We start from the raw sequence: 16,721 nt of genomic DNA, 5'->3' as shown, positions 1-16,721 counted from the left end.
AGTCAGGATAGTGGACCCCCACCTGCAAGCAGAGCTTGTGCACATGTATGTGTGCACAGGTGCGTGCATATCAGTGCACACATGCACACGTGTAGATTGTACATGCATGTGCCTGTGTGTAGAGTGTGCACACAGGCATGCATGTGCATCCTGTATGTGTGCATGTGTGTGCATGTATGTGCACATGCACAAGTGTGTTTCTGCATTTGTGTACCCACATGTACCTGTGTGCGTGCATGAGCATATGTGTGTCGTACATGTGTGAGCACATGTGTGTGTCATGTATTGGTACTGGTGCTTGCCTCTTGGACATCGCAGGCTCCACTTGTGTCTTTAAACACACACGCCCCTCTGCAAGGCTGCCGGGAGCTGGGCTTCTGAGCATCCACCAAGCCCTGCGGCCGTCCTTCTTCATTTGTTCTGTGTGTTATTTCAGTACCTTGAAGACTCTGGCAATTTCCTCAAGGAAACTTTGTCTTTGTGGAAATGAGATGCCAGCACTCCTCGGCCCTCCCACTGGCTAATTGATGATATGATCCCGCGTGGGAGACTTGCCATTCCTGGAAATGCTCTTTATTTCCTGGGCCCCCCCTGCCCCCTGCCCGCCATCGTCTGATTTCTACGAGCTGCTGCATGTGAGGTGCAGGGCCAGGCATTTGCTGTGACTCAGCCCATGTGCCAGGCCTTTCATTAACTTGGATACTACAATTATGTGTGCCAAGAGACTGCGAGGGCCATTTAGGATTTTTCTCCCTTTAAGAAAATATTCCTTTTTCCCCAGCCAGGTAGCCCAGCCCTTTGCCTCTGCAGCTGTGGCCCAAGCACTCCTCAGCTCTCCCGGCACCAACCTGCAACAAACTCTTGTTGGGGGGCTGCGGCTCCGCCATGGTTCTGTCGGAGGTGCTCAGTGGGTGGTCAAGGCAGCCTGCCCTTGGGAGCCGCAAGACGTGGCCTGCTGCGGTGGCTTCACGGTCACGGCACGAATAGCAGCGTGCGTGCTTTTGTGCCTGTGTGAGCACATGTACACCCCATCGGCACACGCGAGGATGACCTTTGGCACAGAACACCTGCTGCTGTGGCCTGCACAGAGAAGGGCTGACCCCAGGACAGCGGCTCCCATTCGCCTCCACCAAGGCCAGCTGGACCCTTCAAGGGACCCTGAGAATCTCCGAGTGTGGGCAGTGGGGTCGTGTCGTGCGGGGGTGGAGTTGCACGGGTCTCCTGTGCACCTACACATGCGTGCTGGCCAGCATATTAGTATGTTCGCAGGGGTAGCCTGACCCTCTTCCCCCACTTAGGAGATGCGTGCGTGGAAACTTGCCCCCGTGGGTGTCTTGGGATGAATATTTGGGATCCTGGTGGATCTGGATTGCAGAGTAGCTGGGCACTGTAAGAGTTCCTGTAAATGTTGGGTCTCCTGGGGAGGGGGAGGCATGGAGCACTTCTCACTTCTGTGGGTGGGTGGAAGGTTGGGGAGGGGCCACACTGGCTCAAGATCACCCCACAGGGAGCAACCTAATCTGAGGACAGACCTGCCTGGGACTCTGTGGAACTGAGATGAGACACTTGCTTCCCCCTTCAAAGGTCATGAGATTCTGGGGACACGGGCTGCCTTCCATACGGTACCCACAAAGCTCATTAAAAGCACCATTCAGAGGCCTCGTTATCTCAAAAAGGAAGGCAAGAGTCCAACCCACTAAGCACCAAATAACAACTCAACAACTCAAAAACTTATTTTTTTAAACTTCCTGGAGTTGCCATGGTTACTTGCACGGTCCCTGCGTCTCTGTTGCTCTACGTGGAGCTGCTTGGAGGAGGAATTAAAGCCTCCAAGGTTCACCCCTTGGAAGGGTCTGTTTATGCTCCTCTGTGGAGGAAAAGAGCTGGAGAAGGTAGGGATCTTCCAGGACCATGGGATGTGATTTTCCAACATTGCACTTCGGAGATGCTGGAGACAGAATTTGTCTCCCACGCTAAAATAATTATAGCCAGGAGAACAGAGAATACATCATTCTAAGTTAAGGTCCTTAACAACGAGGAGGGTGTGTGCGCGTGTGCATGTGTGTGTGTGTGCGCGCACATGTGCATGTATGTGTGCACATGTGTGCATGTATGTGTGTGCATGTGCATGAGCGTGTGTGTGCATGTGTGCACGTGTGCATGTGTGCATGTGCACGGTCATCTCTGCATTGCCACCACCTTCCTCCTGGAGTGCTCTTTTGTACTGGCCACGTGTGTAAAGGCAGTGGCACCTGAGGCCCCTGCACCTGTTGGTCACCCTCCAGCAGGCAGCGCTCCTGCTCCTGTGGCTTCTGCCCAGGCAATGTTATTGGAAGGCAGATTTCTGCAGCAGGATTTTGGGGAGAATTGCTAGTGAGGGATGGTGGAAAGAGGGTGGGTCAAGGAGGAATAATAAAGAAGCCAAGACTCCTTCTGATCAGGCTCCTCTCTGCTCTTCAGATTGTGGGGTTCCATCCTTCTACCTGCCGCGGCTCCATGGGAAGTCCCAGGGCCCAGATGTGGCCCATGCAGTCCAAAAATTAGCTGCAAAGAGGAGAGTCCGTGCTGTGGGCCAGCTGTTTGCCCTAAATGCCCCCTGCCTAGGGTCTGATTGTTTCTCCCCCATGGGATGGACAGAGTGGCAGGTCATTTCCACTTTGGGGGCCCTGCAGCCCCAGTGGCTTTTGGGGGTGTCTGCTCCCTGCTGGCCACAGGGTGAGTCTGTCCTCCCTCCTGGGAAAGGCAGGAGCCAACCCCTACCTATGGGGGGTACTTAGTAGGTGACCGTGGATGCAGAGGCTGAAATCAGGCGGTACCTTCTAAGTGTCGGGCTGTAGTGACAGGTGAGGAGGGCCTTCCCTGGCCCTTCTTGTCCAAGGTGGTCTCAACCTCTCCCTCTGTTTCCCACCTCACTAGGGCATCCCTTCCTCCTGTCAGGCAGGGCAAAGTGCCCCCCAGCGCTGGTGCTGGGCCACAAGGCCACACACAGGACGACGGCAGAGGGCTCATTCTTGGCCAGGGCTCTTGTTGTTTTCCCCTGTGCCTCCTCTTTCTGCCCTGGGTGGGGGCGGGCAGAAAGCCCTTCTACAAGTCTGTAGGAGGACTGTGTCTGTCTTGCCATCTTACCCGGCCAACACTCTCTCATTCCCAATGCAAACCGGAGTCCCTGGAGCACAGCTGGGCTGGCAAGACCAGATTCCCCAATTTGAGGCCAGCCTTGCTTTTCCACGGCTGGGATATTTTAGCAGCAAGACAGGAGGTGATCTCAGGCTCCTGCATCTCCTTTTTGGCAAACTCACGAGCTCACAGTGTGAGGGCAGGTGCTTTCTCCAGGAAGCATTTGGGGTGAATGTGTGTGGCAGCCACGGAGGTCTCCCTTGTGAAGTCCTTTCTTACGTGTGGCCAGCAGGAGGGAGGCCTCGGCCAGGGGTGACCCCAGCATTTCTCTTGCAGTGTCCTAGGAGGGGCGTGGCTCGTTAAGTAGACGGTGAAGGCCAACGGGAAGGTTTTGGATCCTTCTATCAACACGGAACATAGCGAAGCCATAGGTTATCACTGGGTGTATCTAAGGCGGTGAGCAAGTGGGACGTACTGACGTAGACAGGCACGCAGAGGACATGAGAAGCATCCACAAAGCCTCCCTCTGGGCCTGATGTCAGCACCTGCTTCCCATAGCACTTTCTGGGAGCTGTAATCAGCACTGAGAAGGAAAAGCAAAAAATCACAGATCCTGATGGGCGTCTGCAGCTCCATCTCCCGTATTGGGCTGCAAGTGCTTCGCGGGCAGGGGCTGCAGCTGATCCATGTCTTCCCAGAGCACCTAGCATGGCTGTCTGCTCATAGTCCATTCTCAATCAACATTTGTTGAATTCTGAGAGCTGGTTGGGGGGCAGGGGCCTTTGTGGCTCATTAGCTCTGTGGCCTGGCTGGGCCCACGGTGGGTGGCCCTGGTGGGTTTCCGTGCCTTGGTTATTTCTGTCTCTAGAGGCTCCACTGAGAAGGGGTAGGAGGGTGTGCCGGAGGCCCTGGCCCACCCCTGGCTGGTGCTGGGCACACTCTCTGCCTGCTGATCAGAGAGCCCCAGGGCCTGGGGGCAGAGGGCTGTCAGAGGAACAAGGACCCCGCTGATCTGCAGGAAAGCCACTGTGGTTTCTGGCCCAGAGAGGAAATGGGCCCTGGTTCTGCCCTGAGGGTTCAGTTGGGCTCTGCATCAGCCCCAGGAGCTTCTTCCCCTCCTTCCTTGGAAGTGAACCTTGGAGCGTGTGCAATTGTTTCCCAGAACCAGAGTCAGCTGCCAAATAGAGCAGACTGCCTCTGAAAGGGGGGTCTCAGATGTCTCTTTGAGCCACCCCTCTTTCCTGGGCTTGGAATGAGGAGTAGATAAGAGGGAGGAAAAAGTACCAGGAAGGTTCTGGATTGCTCTAGAAGATGCCAGATAATTCTGGAAGATATCCTGAGGCTCCTCCAGATGTGTGACCCTGGGGCCAGCTGCATCCTTCGGAGCGTAATGTACCCCGTCCACAGGGGAGTACGCTCGTGATTATTGATGCTAATGGAAAACAGAAGTGGAATGGATAATTCAAGATGGCAGATGAATCAATATTATTTATATTTAGCCTGTGAATGCGCTGCATATTTCTCCGCTGGCAGATTGGGCTTCACAATTATGTTTTGCAGAATCCAAGAATCTGCTGCCCATGGGCCAAGGGCTGCCACCTTGCTCTTCCTCTAGGAGGGTTTTTGGAATGCATAGGAGCCCCTCGTGACTTGGCGGCTGGCTTAGAGGGAGATGCCAGGTCCGTCCTCCCCTCTGCGCGGCTGGCATGCCACTTCCCACAGGTCTCCCCGCTGCTAACACACTCCCTGCAGCAGGGGATTGGTTAAAAGCGTTCAAGAGAGAATGGCCTATTCATACACACGGTGGGTTTTAGGCAGCTGCTTTCCATGGATGTGGAAAGAGACCCACAGTCCATTTTCGTGGAAAAGAAAGACGGCAGAACCGTCAGTGTGATTTAATCCTAAAGCGTGTGGACCTGGTGCACTGTCTCGTCTTCATCTGGTATTCTCAGTGCTTAGCCCAGTGCCTGGCACAAAGCAGGTGCCCAGCGAGCGGTTGCTGACTGAGCATGTTCTTCGCTGGGGCACGGTGGGCCTCAGTGGGAGGATCGAGTTCCTGGGCTGGGGACCCAAGTCTGCTCTCCAGGGAGCTGCGTGTCTGCGTGCCGGTTTCTTTCTGGCAAGCTTGACCTTGCACCTTGGTGGCCCCATTATGGTCAGCCTCGGCACACCTGGAAAGTGGCTCGTTTCTCTCAATACCGATGGCTCTCCAGGCGGGGGTGGGGGTCATTCCTGCTGTTACTCTAAGGGTGGGATGGGGAGCGTCATCCCAGGGAGGGGATCAGCGTCTTCTGAGGGCGTGTCCTCAGGGCTCCGTTCTTGGTCAGCACTTGTGCCAAACATGGTCCAGTCTGGTCTCCTCTTTGGGGACCCAGTAAATGCAAACCTTCTGGCCCTCTGTGTGGCACCCACAGGGGATGGAGGATAAGAGGAACCACACGTGAAAACTCAGAAATTCCCAGTGGAGGCTTCTGAGGGTGGCTTCCGGGGCATGCCGAGGGTGGGGAAGCGCTGAGTGGGTGCTTCCTTGTATGTTCAGGGGTGCCCCTGGAAGGCCTCGCAGCTGCCTACACCCCCAGCCCCTGGACACCAGAACCTTTCACATCCAAGTTTTAAAAAATGGCCTCTGATTTATAAGGTGCCTTATGTTAGACGTCACATTGATGTACAGTTCTGTATTTAAAAAATTGGCTCTGCTCACACTGCCCTCGAGGAAGAGTGCTGTTGGGTCCTGCAGTCCCAGGGACAGGAACAAGAACCTCGAGGTGCTGGGTTTGTGTGGCTCGAGTCCTCCCTGCGCAGGGGCCGGGCTGCACAGCCGGATTTAGGCCCCGGGTGGCCCTGGAGTGGACAGCTTCTGAAGTCAGCATGTGGGAGGCAGAGCCTGGAGGGGGCTGGCTGGTGGTGTGAACAGGAGCATCTGGGGACAGCAAGCCATTTCCATCTCTTTCCTTGCTATGGCCTGGGTGCCTCCAGAGGGTCAGGGCTGTGTCTTCCACTTCTTGTTTGTCCCTGCTGCCCCGCAGAGTGCCGTCTCCACAGCTCCATATGCAGAATCTTCTAGAAGAAAGACCTTGTTTCTGGACTCACCCCTCAGTCTCGAAAGTTTCCAAGGGTTTTAAAGAACATTCTAGCACCGTCTCAGCCCTTAGCTCTGAGATTCTTCTACTTCCAGTGGAGAAGGTGGGTCAGGAGGACCCACCTCTCCACTCCCTGGCACAGAGTAGGCGCTTAATCAATGTTGTGAGAATGCAGGAGGGACTGTCGCGCTGTCCTGATGAGTCAGACAGAGGCAGGTTCATTTTCCTCAATTGCGTGCTTCCTCTGTATCCCCTTGAACCTAAAAACAGCTATCTCAGGAAGAGGGAGGAGAGCGAGTTTGACTGATGGATTCCCCAGGTGCCCAAACCCTTTGGTCCAAGTGCCTCCCACCCCCAACAAGTGCCAGCGGGTTTTGGTTTCTGTCCTGGAGCCTGCTGGTGCCATACTCTCTCAATTTCCTCTCCTGGCCCTTGGGAGCAGGGAGAACAGACGTTGGGCCGCTGCAGATGACCGACTGCCTGAGGCCAGGGCCTGAACTGGTGCCCAGTGTGCCCATCGGGTTCCGTCGCTCCCCGACTCCTCTTGTCGTTTTCAAAATCAAGACACAAAAAAGAAAACTAACATTTGCAGGAGACACAACCACATCACAAAGTTATCTAAAGTGAGCAGAGGCCACTCCGGTCCTCAGAAATTAGATTATTTTAGAATTGCATTGAATTAAGAAAGGATTCCTCCCTCGGTGTTCCCAGATCTCTGCCCCATTCTCTGGCAGCCCCTTTCTCCACGCCCACCCTCCCGTGGCCATGAGAGATTTTCTGGCGGTGTCAAGGCAATGTGACCTGGTTCTGTAATAAGGAGGAGGCTTATTAGAATTAAGGCCTAACAGCGTTAAAAAAGCAATCTTTGCAAGATTGAGGCCACAGGGGAATTGTAAATTCTCAGCAAAGACCTCATTTAAGGATTGGAATAAAAACTCGGCATGCATGTACAGGCGTGCACACATGACGCGCCCTCCAGAAACAGACTTAGTTTACAAAAAAAGAGCTGGGAGAAGGAGGAAGGATTGGGAGCTGCCAGGGAAGGGCAGGTGGTGTCCGTCCTGGTGGGATGTGGGGTCTCCTGGGGGTGTCTGCCTGCCAAGAGTGGGCTGTGGACACACATGTTCCTCTCTTAGGGGTTTCTTCTGCACCTGCACCCCTCCCTGGAGCAGCTGCCACCCACTTCTGTCCCCCGAGAGTGGCAAGAGCCCAGTGTGGGCTGCCTTCCCTGACCCCCACCTCCGAGCACTCAGGCTTTTCACCCGGTGGTTGCTGCCACTAAGCAGACTGTGGTTTGGGGTCTGCCAGGTCAGGAGTGCAGGGGGCCATGGAAGCAGGGGTGTGGGGTAGTGGGTGTGCCAGGTTCCTTCTGGGCAGGGAGAAGGGGCAGGGGAGCACATGGCTGTGGGATGAAGTCTAAGGTGCTGCCATCATAGAGAACATTTGGGATGCGCCAGGACTGCTGTACATTTCCCTGTCAAGGGCCCCATGCCGCAGTGCCCAGTCTGAAACAGACGACAGCCTTGGCTTGGGCCTGCTGGGGCCACCTTGGGAGTGGCTGTCCCTGGGAGAGTCCTGGTGTCCTGAGCCCGCAGTCCTGGGCTCAACTCAGTGGGAGAGGAGGGAGTGTGTTCACAGCGCAGGTGGGAGTGTGGGGAGGGAACCACTCCCTGCCCCAGCCTTCCCAGGGACAGGCAGTCCACGGGGTGACCTGGAAGGTCCCCATGGATCCAGCTCCAGTTGCCCACAGGGTGACCTGTTCAATAACACTGCATAAACGCACGTACACATGCACACACTACACACATGCACACCTGTCCACACACATATGCACGCACCACACATGCACACGTGTGCCCATACTACACATTCCACACATATCACACACTGCACACACCACACACATGCACTCATTTACATATGCACATGTTCACACACCACACACATACACAGGCATGCATATGTGCACACACAACAATATTCCACACCCCCCCACCCACATACACATGCATATATGCATCCACAGACGACAATACTCCACACCCCACACACACATGCATGCATGTGTGCACATACGACGACAGTACTCCACACCCTGCAGACACACACACATGCATGCATGCACACACGACAATACTTCACATTCCACACACACTACACACACACACATGCATGCATATGTGCACACAAAATACTCCACCCCTGCACACACCCACACACATACACATACATGCATGTGTGCACACACTACAATACTCCACACTCCACACACACACACTGCACATACCACATGCGTGCACACGTTTACACATGCCACACACAACACATGCACACCCCTCCACACACCCTCCACACATGCACACCCCTCCACACACCCTCCACACGTGCACATGCCTCCACACACCCTCCACACGTGCACACCCCTCCACACACCCTCCACACGTGCACACCCCTCCTCACACCCTCCATACGTGCACACATAGCTTTTATTCCATCCTCATCAGGCTCCCAGATAACCTCACACCAGCTTCCTGGACTTGCTCTCAAACCAGCAATCTGTGCCCCAACCCTTGCCCCAGGCTCTGTTTTCAGGGGCTCCAAGCAAAGGCGGTGACCCAACAGAAAACACGATACTGTTTGGGGCTGAATTCCAGAGGGGACAGGAGGCCCAAGAGGAAGGAAAGACGGGGATGGGCTGGGGGTTGGGGGTGGCCGCCACCTTCTGCTGGGACCTTTGGCGCTGTGCCTGGCTTTTATCACTTCAGGCTGTGCCTGGAACACAGTAGGTGCCCAATAAATGTGTACCAAGGAGTCTGGTGTCCATCGGATGGGCGCAGCCTGGCTGGGGGTTCTCCTTTTTGGTGCCAGGATTGGTCCTGGCCATGGTGTGTCTCCTGTCCCCAGGAAATCTAGAGTGGCAGCGTGGCTGTGACAACACTCTGAGTTTTGAGATGAAGGAAGCCCCCGAGGCAGGTGGGCTCATTCCAGCAGTAACTTCTGAAGCCTTGGCCCCCAGCGACACCTGTGCCAGGGGGGACACATGGCAATGGGTGCCGACCCCCGGGACCACGTGACTGCCAGGTTCAGGGGGCCTCTCTGGGATCTCCCCTCATGGAAACCTTTATTCCCCCATCCTGGCTCTTCTCCTGGACTCCTTGTTTCTGGAACAGTGAGCAGGCTTGGGAGGAAGGGGCGGCGACAGCTCCCTGCTCCCAGGGTCCCCGGCAGACACGGGAACTTCTCGTCCCTCCGAGGGCTGGGAAGCTGCTCACAGGCTTCTTTTGTGCTCCTGAGAGGCTGGATGCTTGGGGAATTCTGAGAAGTTGGCTGCAGTCTTGAGGCCCCTTCTTGGGGTTCATTGAAGATTTCTTTGAGATTTGGGGTGGGGTCCATGCTGGCTGTGTTTGATATTGTCCTCCTGGGCCTTGTGGTGATGAGAACTCTTACCCCAGGGCTGAGCTGATGTCCTTGCTTTCTCCTTTTCGTTCTGGTGAGAAAGGGGCCATCTGAACGCCAGGAGGTGGACACGCAGCATCCAGGGAGAAGGCAGGGGAAGAGGTCTGGTCTCTTGCTCCACTTTCGGTGCCAGGTGGCCAGAATGAACTTCATTGGTATCCTGGATTTTCCGCCTCCTTTCCTGGAGGAGCCCCAGCTGGGATGTCCTGGGAGGCGGACTTCCCTAGACCTCATCCCAGCCCCAGGAGACCCACAGGGAAGGCAATTTACATTTCAGGTCATTAAAAAATAAAAAAGCAACCCAAGGGGGCTGGGAAGGAAATAACAGTCCCAAACTTGGCAACAAATAGGTTGCAATTTTTGGAAGCTTTTTTGTGTGAAGAATGAGTTTCCAGCTCTGCAGGAATATCCATGTGCCTTTTAAACAAAGGGCAATTATGTGCAATCCATCTTTGCTTTTGTGGGCTTCCTAGGAAGGATTCTTGGAGTCTTTGCCTCCATCTAGCCCCCTCCCTTTTAAAACGACAGTAATGTGAAAGTTTCCAAATAATTGCTTGTCTCTTACCGCGTGCTATCTTGGCGCGTGTCTGTCCCCTATCAGGGCCTTGTCCCCTGGGGTTCTTATCCTGGGTATAGGACGGATGGGGATGGTAAAGAAGTGTGTGGCCTGGGGGGTGGGGAGGCGGTGTTGGGGCAAAGCCAAGGCACACTGAGCAGCACAGGAAGCACCCCCAAATGGGGCATTTGTCTCCCGGTCCCCCACCGCCCCTGCAGTGCCCTCCAGGGAATACATGGGGGGTGGAGGGCACCTTCCCTGCTGCCTCTTCCTCCTCTTTCCTTTTCTTCTTCTTTTTTAATCTGAGGGCTTCATTTTCCAGAATCTGTCATTTTATATAAACCTCGCACTGAGGCACATCCGTTCTCACTGCCAAATCTCCACATCAAACGCTGGTGTCCACCATTGAACTGACAGCCCTCCCCAGCATGCCTGGGCCTTGCCGAGACCTGGAAGGACAGACCCCCCATGGTGGGACGATGCAGGCCAAACCCACATGGGGGTATTGGGTTGTGTGGAGGGTGTCGGGGTGCATGTGACCCCTCTTCACTGCCGTTCTCCAGGGTCCCTTCCAGGGGGTCCCAGCTCCTCCCCGTGCATTTCTGGTACAGCCCCCAGGGCGTCCCAGGGAAGCTCCAGGAGCCTGGGCAGGCAGCAGGGAGGAGATTGGGAGGGAAGAGGCTACCCATTCGGGCTGAATCATGTCCTCCCAAAAAGCCATGTTGACGTCCTAACCTCCGGGACCTCAGAATGTGACCTTAGAGACAGGGTCTTCTCAGAGGGGATGGGGGGCCCTAATCCAACAGGACTGGTGTCCTTATCTGAAGGGTAAATCAGGACACAGAGGCACAAACAGGGGACGGTGATGTGGAGAGACAGGGAGAAGACAGCACTTGGCTGGGGTGAGCCAGCCACAGGCCACGGACACTCAGGAGAGCACCTAAAGCCAAGGAGAGCCCTGGGGCGGATCCTCGCTCAGAGCCCCCAGAAGAAGCCCACCTGCGGAGTCCACACCCAGACTCAGACGGCAGCCTGCCGCAGCGCAAGAGGATTCATGCTGTTGTTTGTGGCCGCCAGTGTGCAGTCCTGTGTTATGGTAGCCCCAGCTCTAATGCCCCCTCCCAGGCAGTTCCTTAAGTTCCCCACCCTTGAGCACTGCTATGCCCTGAAAGAACTGTCCAAGCTCAGGACGGGGTCTCACTATATGGCCCAGGTCCAAGCTCAGGACGGGGTCTCACTATATGGCCCAGGTCCAAGCTCAGGATGGGGTCTCACTATATGGCCCAGGTCCAAGCTCAGGATGGGGTCTCACTATATGGCCCAGGTCCAAGTGCAGGACGGGGTCTCACTATATGGCCCAGGTCCAAGCTCAGGATGGGGTCTCGCTATAGGGCCCAGGCCCAAGCTCAGGATGGGATCTCGCTATATTGCCCAGGTCGAAGTTCAGGATGGGGTCTCACTATATGGCCCAGGTCCAAGCTCAGGACGGGATCTCGCTATATGGCCCAGGTCCAAGCTCAGGATGGGGTCTCACTATATTGCCGAGGTCCAAGCTCAGGATGGGTCTCGTTATATCACCCAGGTCCAAGCTCAGGACAGGTCTCTTGGGGGAGGGCTGTGCTTAAGGGTGGGGATACCTGCAGAGTGCTATTCATTTTTAGGGAAGCAAACAGCAGTGAAGGGGGTGTGGGGTGGGCTATAGCTCAACACATCAAAGAGAAATTGGCTTGCAGGTTCTTCCTAACCTGGGGTGAGGGTGGTCAGTACCTTGGTCAACTACTATTTATTTTCCTGGCTGCAGCAAGGTCTGCGCTCGGCTCCTGGAGTGGCAGGAGGAGGATTTGATGCCAAGCCTGCCCTCAGGATGTTTTTTGGTCTTCATGGTGGGATGAAGCCCAGAATGTCTCCTTGCACCCAGAGTCCCCGGGGGAGAATAAGATCAGTTATCAAGTGCATTAGAAAACACATGAGAAAATGCCCAGTCTTGGGCCTGGCTCACGTAAGGCTCAAAACCATTTGTTTATGAACATTACTGTGAGCTCCAGAGCTGGATCTGCATGGTCCAGCTCCAGCAACTGCATCCCACCTGGAAACTCCTATGCATGCCTCAAGACCCAACTCAGGCCAAGTAAGGTGGCTCATGACTGCAATCCCAGCACTTTGGGAGGCCAAGGTGGGAGGATGGATTGAGCTCAAGAGTTCAAGTCCAGCAATATAGTGAGAGCCCTTCTTTACAAAAACATTTTTTAAAAAGAGCCAGGCATGGTGGCATGCCTCTGTGTCCCAGCTATTCAGGAAGCTGAGGTGGGAGCATTGCTTGAGCCCAGGAGTTCAAGGTTGCAGTGAGGTATGATTGTGCCACTGCACTCCAGCCTGGGTGAGAGCCCATCTCTAAAAAGAAAAAAGACCCAACTCAAATGTTCCGTCCTCCCGTGAAGTAGCTCCGTCTGCTTCCCCGTGGGCTCCTTCATCTATTCTCCCACAGCCTTTCCCCCTGCCTCCAAGTGGGACCTCGATCAAGGTCCTGTGATTCCCTGGTTACATACCTGCTCCCTTCCTAGGTGCCGCTTGGTCCGAAGCTTGTGGTCTGAAGCTTTCTGGCCAGCCTGCTGCTCCGTGGGGGGACCTCGCCTGGCTGAGTGACTTGGGCAGCTTGGGGCTGAGGGTCCTGGCTGAGTGGCTCCACTGGGTTTGTAGACGATGCCGGTGTTCCCTGTTTATTCTCACCAGCCGCCTTCTCCCAAACAGGGTTGGCCTGGCCATCACAACAGATAAGTCCAAGTTAGGATGAAAACAGCAGGGGCTGGGGTCCCTAGCCTTGCTGGTGTCTACTGCAAAGGACACTGGACTGCAAGGTGGAGGTCTTGGGATCAGGCTGCCGTGGACATGCTATGTAAGGTCATGCTGCCTTGGCTCCATGGAGCCTCTCCTGTGCAATGTGGGCACCACTGCTGCCCCTTACATTGCACAGGAAGGATGCCAGCACCATAGTGACCGAGTGTGGAAAAGGGCTCTCGTGACCAGCCATGCTCCCTTCTCCTCACACCACCTTCCTATTCTCAGGGTTGCGGGGGGTCTTGGAGAGTGGAGGCACCACAGGGTGTGTGGTCTAGGCCTTAATGGTTCACCTTTCTGCCTTGCGCCCACCAGTTACTCTGGCTACAGACTTCTTGGGACCGGCCAGTTATTGAGTCAATTTCCAGTGGTCTTTCTTGGACCAGTTTCTGCATCTGTAGCAGCAAATCTATTTTTTATTTTACCTCCAGTGTGGAATTTTTCCCAGTTATTTTAAATAAGTTTCATTTATTTGTGCCTGGAATTCAGGTATTACCAGACTTGCACAGATGCAAATTCAGAGTCATAAAGGAATATCGACAGCAGTTGCAACCACATCACCATCTCTCATGCAATCAAATGCCCTGGCTGCCATCAGAGGAAAACGTAGCATTTGAAAAGCTGCAGGAGAATACACTCTCCAACAAACAAGGTGGGCTCTCCAGAGAAACCCGGGAGAGGATGCTTCTGAGAACTCTGCAGGGACATTCAAAGCAGCTTCTGATATTTCTGATTGAAAACATATGAAAAGAGAAAATCAAACGGAAGATCTCACCAAGTAGCTCAATTACAAGCCCTACCAGAATGGATTTAGCCACATGGCTCTGTTGGTTTCTAGCTAATCCTGGGAAGCGGGATGAAGTTGAGGAACGTCCTCATGCCTGGGGGAAGGGGGTACCAGTCAGCGACTGCCGCATCACAAACACGCCCCAAAACGCTGTAGCTTGAAACAGCAGTTGTTGTTCTTGCTCATGAGTCCAGGGGTCATCTGGGCCCTTCTGCTGAACTGGGCCATGCTTGGCTGGTCCCAGCTGGGCTTGCTGGGACCTCTGTGGTCAGCTGGCAGGTGGGGCGGAGGCCGCTGGACTTGAGACAGGTCCCTGCTTCTCCTGGCTCTTCCTTCTCCAGCAGGCTCACTCAGGCTTGCTCACACGTCCGTGCCTGGGTCCCGGGACAGAAATGGAAGTGAGCAAGGCCTGCTGAGGCCCCACCTGGAATGGGGGCACCCTCGTGTCTAGGACATCTTTTGGTCTGGAGGCCAGCCCTGATTCAAAGGGCAAGGAAGTAGACCCTGCCTCTTGGTGGAAGGAGCTACAAAGTCACATTGCAAAGGGAATGTTTCCATGGACATGTGAACAGTTGGGGCATCTCTGCACTCAGTCCACACCAGGGGCAAGCCTCCATGCTGGGAATCACCCCAGTCTGAGGGCCCCAGCCTGGGAGATGGGAAGGCTGGTTGGTGGATGCAGGAGCTCAGCTGGGGGTCAGTGCCAGCAAGACAAATGAAGACTTGGTCAAAGAAGGCCTGTGTCCAGCTCCTCTCCTGTCCAGTCTCAGCTCACTGCCCGGCCCCACGGAGCCCATCCTAACCTTTCACTTTCTCTTGTCTCTCGGCCCATCAGGCTCATCTGTCCACCCTGAGTTCAGATGCTCTTGCTTCCTGGGCTCATCCTCCCTACTGGCACTTTGCTGCTGGGAGTTCCTAGAGGCATCATCCTCTTTCTTCACTCTCCCTGGGCTGGACCAGGGCTCAGCCAATACCCAAGTGCCAGCTCATGCAGGCCCCTCCTCCTGAATATTCCTAGACCTCCCCCAGGTCTTAAACATTTTTATTTTATTTTATTATTTATTTATTTATTTTTGAGAAGGAGTCTCGCTGTTGTCGCCCAGGCTGGAGTGCGATGCTGTGAACTCGGCTCACTGCAACTTCTGCCTCCCGGGTTCAAGCGATTCTCCTGCCTCAGCCTCCTGAGTAGCTGGGATTACAGGCTCCTGCAACCATACCCAGCTCATTTTTCGTATTTTTAGTAGAGATGGGGTTTCACCATGTTGGCCAGGCTGGTCTCGGACTACTGACCTTAGGTGATGCACCCGCCTCAGCCTCCCAGATTGCTGGGATTACAGGCGTGAGCCATCATCTGGCCTTTTAAAAATTTTTAATTGTTTAATTTTTTTATTCCAATGGGTTTCTGGGGAACAGGTGGTGTTTGGTTACATAAACAAGCTTTTTAGTGGTGATTTCTCAGATTTTGGTGCTCCCATCCTCCCAGCAGTGGACGCTGTACTCAGTGTGTCGTCTTTTATCCCCTCACCACCCCCCACACTTTCCCCAGAGTCCCCAAAATCCAATTTATCGGCTGGGCGCCGTGGCTCACGCCTGTAATCCCAGCGCTTTGGGAGGCTGAGGCGGGCGGATCACGAGGTCAGGAGATCGAGAACATCCTGGCTAACACGGTGAAATCCCGTCTCTACTAAAAATACAAAAAAGTAGCTGGGTGTGGTGGCGGGTGCCTGTAGTCCCAGCTACTTGGGAGGCTGAGGCAGGAGAATGGCGTGAACCCGGGAGGTGGAGCTTGCAGTGAGCTGAGATCGTGCCACTGCACTCCAGCCTGGGCGACAGAGTGAGACTCAGTCTCAAAAAAAAAATAAATAAATAAAAATAAAAAAATCCAGTGTATCATTCTTAATCTTTGCGTCCTCATAGCTTAGCTCCCACAGATGGGTGTGAACATACGATATTTGGTTTTCCATTCCTGAGTTACTTCACTTAGAATAATAGTCTCCAGTTCCATCCACGTCGCTGTGAATGCCATTATTTTGTTCCTTTTTATGGCTGAGTAGTATTCATACACACACACACACACACACATACACACACATATGTATATATAACATTTTCTTTATTCACTCATTGATTTGATGGGCATTTGGCCTGGTTCCATATTTTTGTAATTGCGGATTGTGCTGCTATAAACATGCATGAGCAAATATCTTTTTTTGTATCATGACTTATTTTCCTCTGGGTAGATACCTGGTAGTGGGATTGTTGGATCAAATGGTAGTTCTACTTATAGTTCTTTAAGGAATCTCCGCACTGTTTTCCATAGTGGCTGTACTAGTTTACATTCCCACCAGCAGTGTAAAAGTGTTCCCTGCTAACATCTGTGCCAACATCTATTATTTTTTGATTGGTTGGGTATGGCCATTCTTGCTGGAGTAAGGTGGTGTTGCATTGTGGTTTTGATTTGCATTTCCCTGGTCATTAGTGATGTGGAGCATTTTTCCATATGCTTGTTGGCCATTGGTATATCTTCTTTTGAGAACTGTCTGTTCATGTCCTTAGCCCCAGGCCTTTTGTGATCCGTGCCCCTGCCTCCTCCTCTCCCAGCATTCTCCATTTTAGAGGACAGCACCACTCCCAACTCACTTTTTGTACAAGGCGGAGGCTGGGCTCCTCCCTCTGTGCTCTCCATCCCCCGCCATGTCCGCTTTCTAGGCACCCCCACACCTTTCCCCTCTCACCTCCTAAAGCCCTCATTCTGTTCACTTCCCTCCTTTCCCATGGCCACCACCTTCTCTGGCCTGGACCATGGCCGCGGCCTCCTGCCTGGGTTCACAGGCTTTGGCTACTGAGTGGGAGGTGGATTGGAGGGGAGCATGGGCAGAGCATCTTTTAA

General features: G+C 54.0%; 1 protein-coding gene across 36 annotated transcripts in view; it reads left to right on the top strand.

Annotated features, from left to right (window-relative positions):
* RBFOX3 (RNA binding fox-1 homolog 3) overlaps nt 1-16,721 on the top strand; it is a 576,227-nt gene that overhangs the window by 65,108 nt on the left and 494,398 nt on the right. The gene's annotated exons all lie outside the window — the stretch shown is intronic.

The sequence above is a fragment of the Homo sapiens genome, chromosome 17 (genome assembly GCF_000001405.40).
Source record: "Homo sapiens chromosome 17, GRCh38.p14 Primary Assembly".
Classification (NCBI taxonomy): domain Eukaryota; kingdom Metazoa; phylum Chordata; class Mammalia; order Primates; family Hominidae; genus Homo; species Homo sapiens.
Note: the sequence above shows the minus strand (reverse complement) of the source record. Positions and strands in the feature narration are given on the sequence as shown.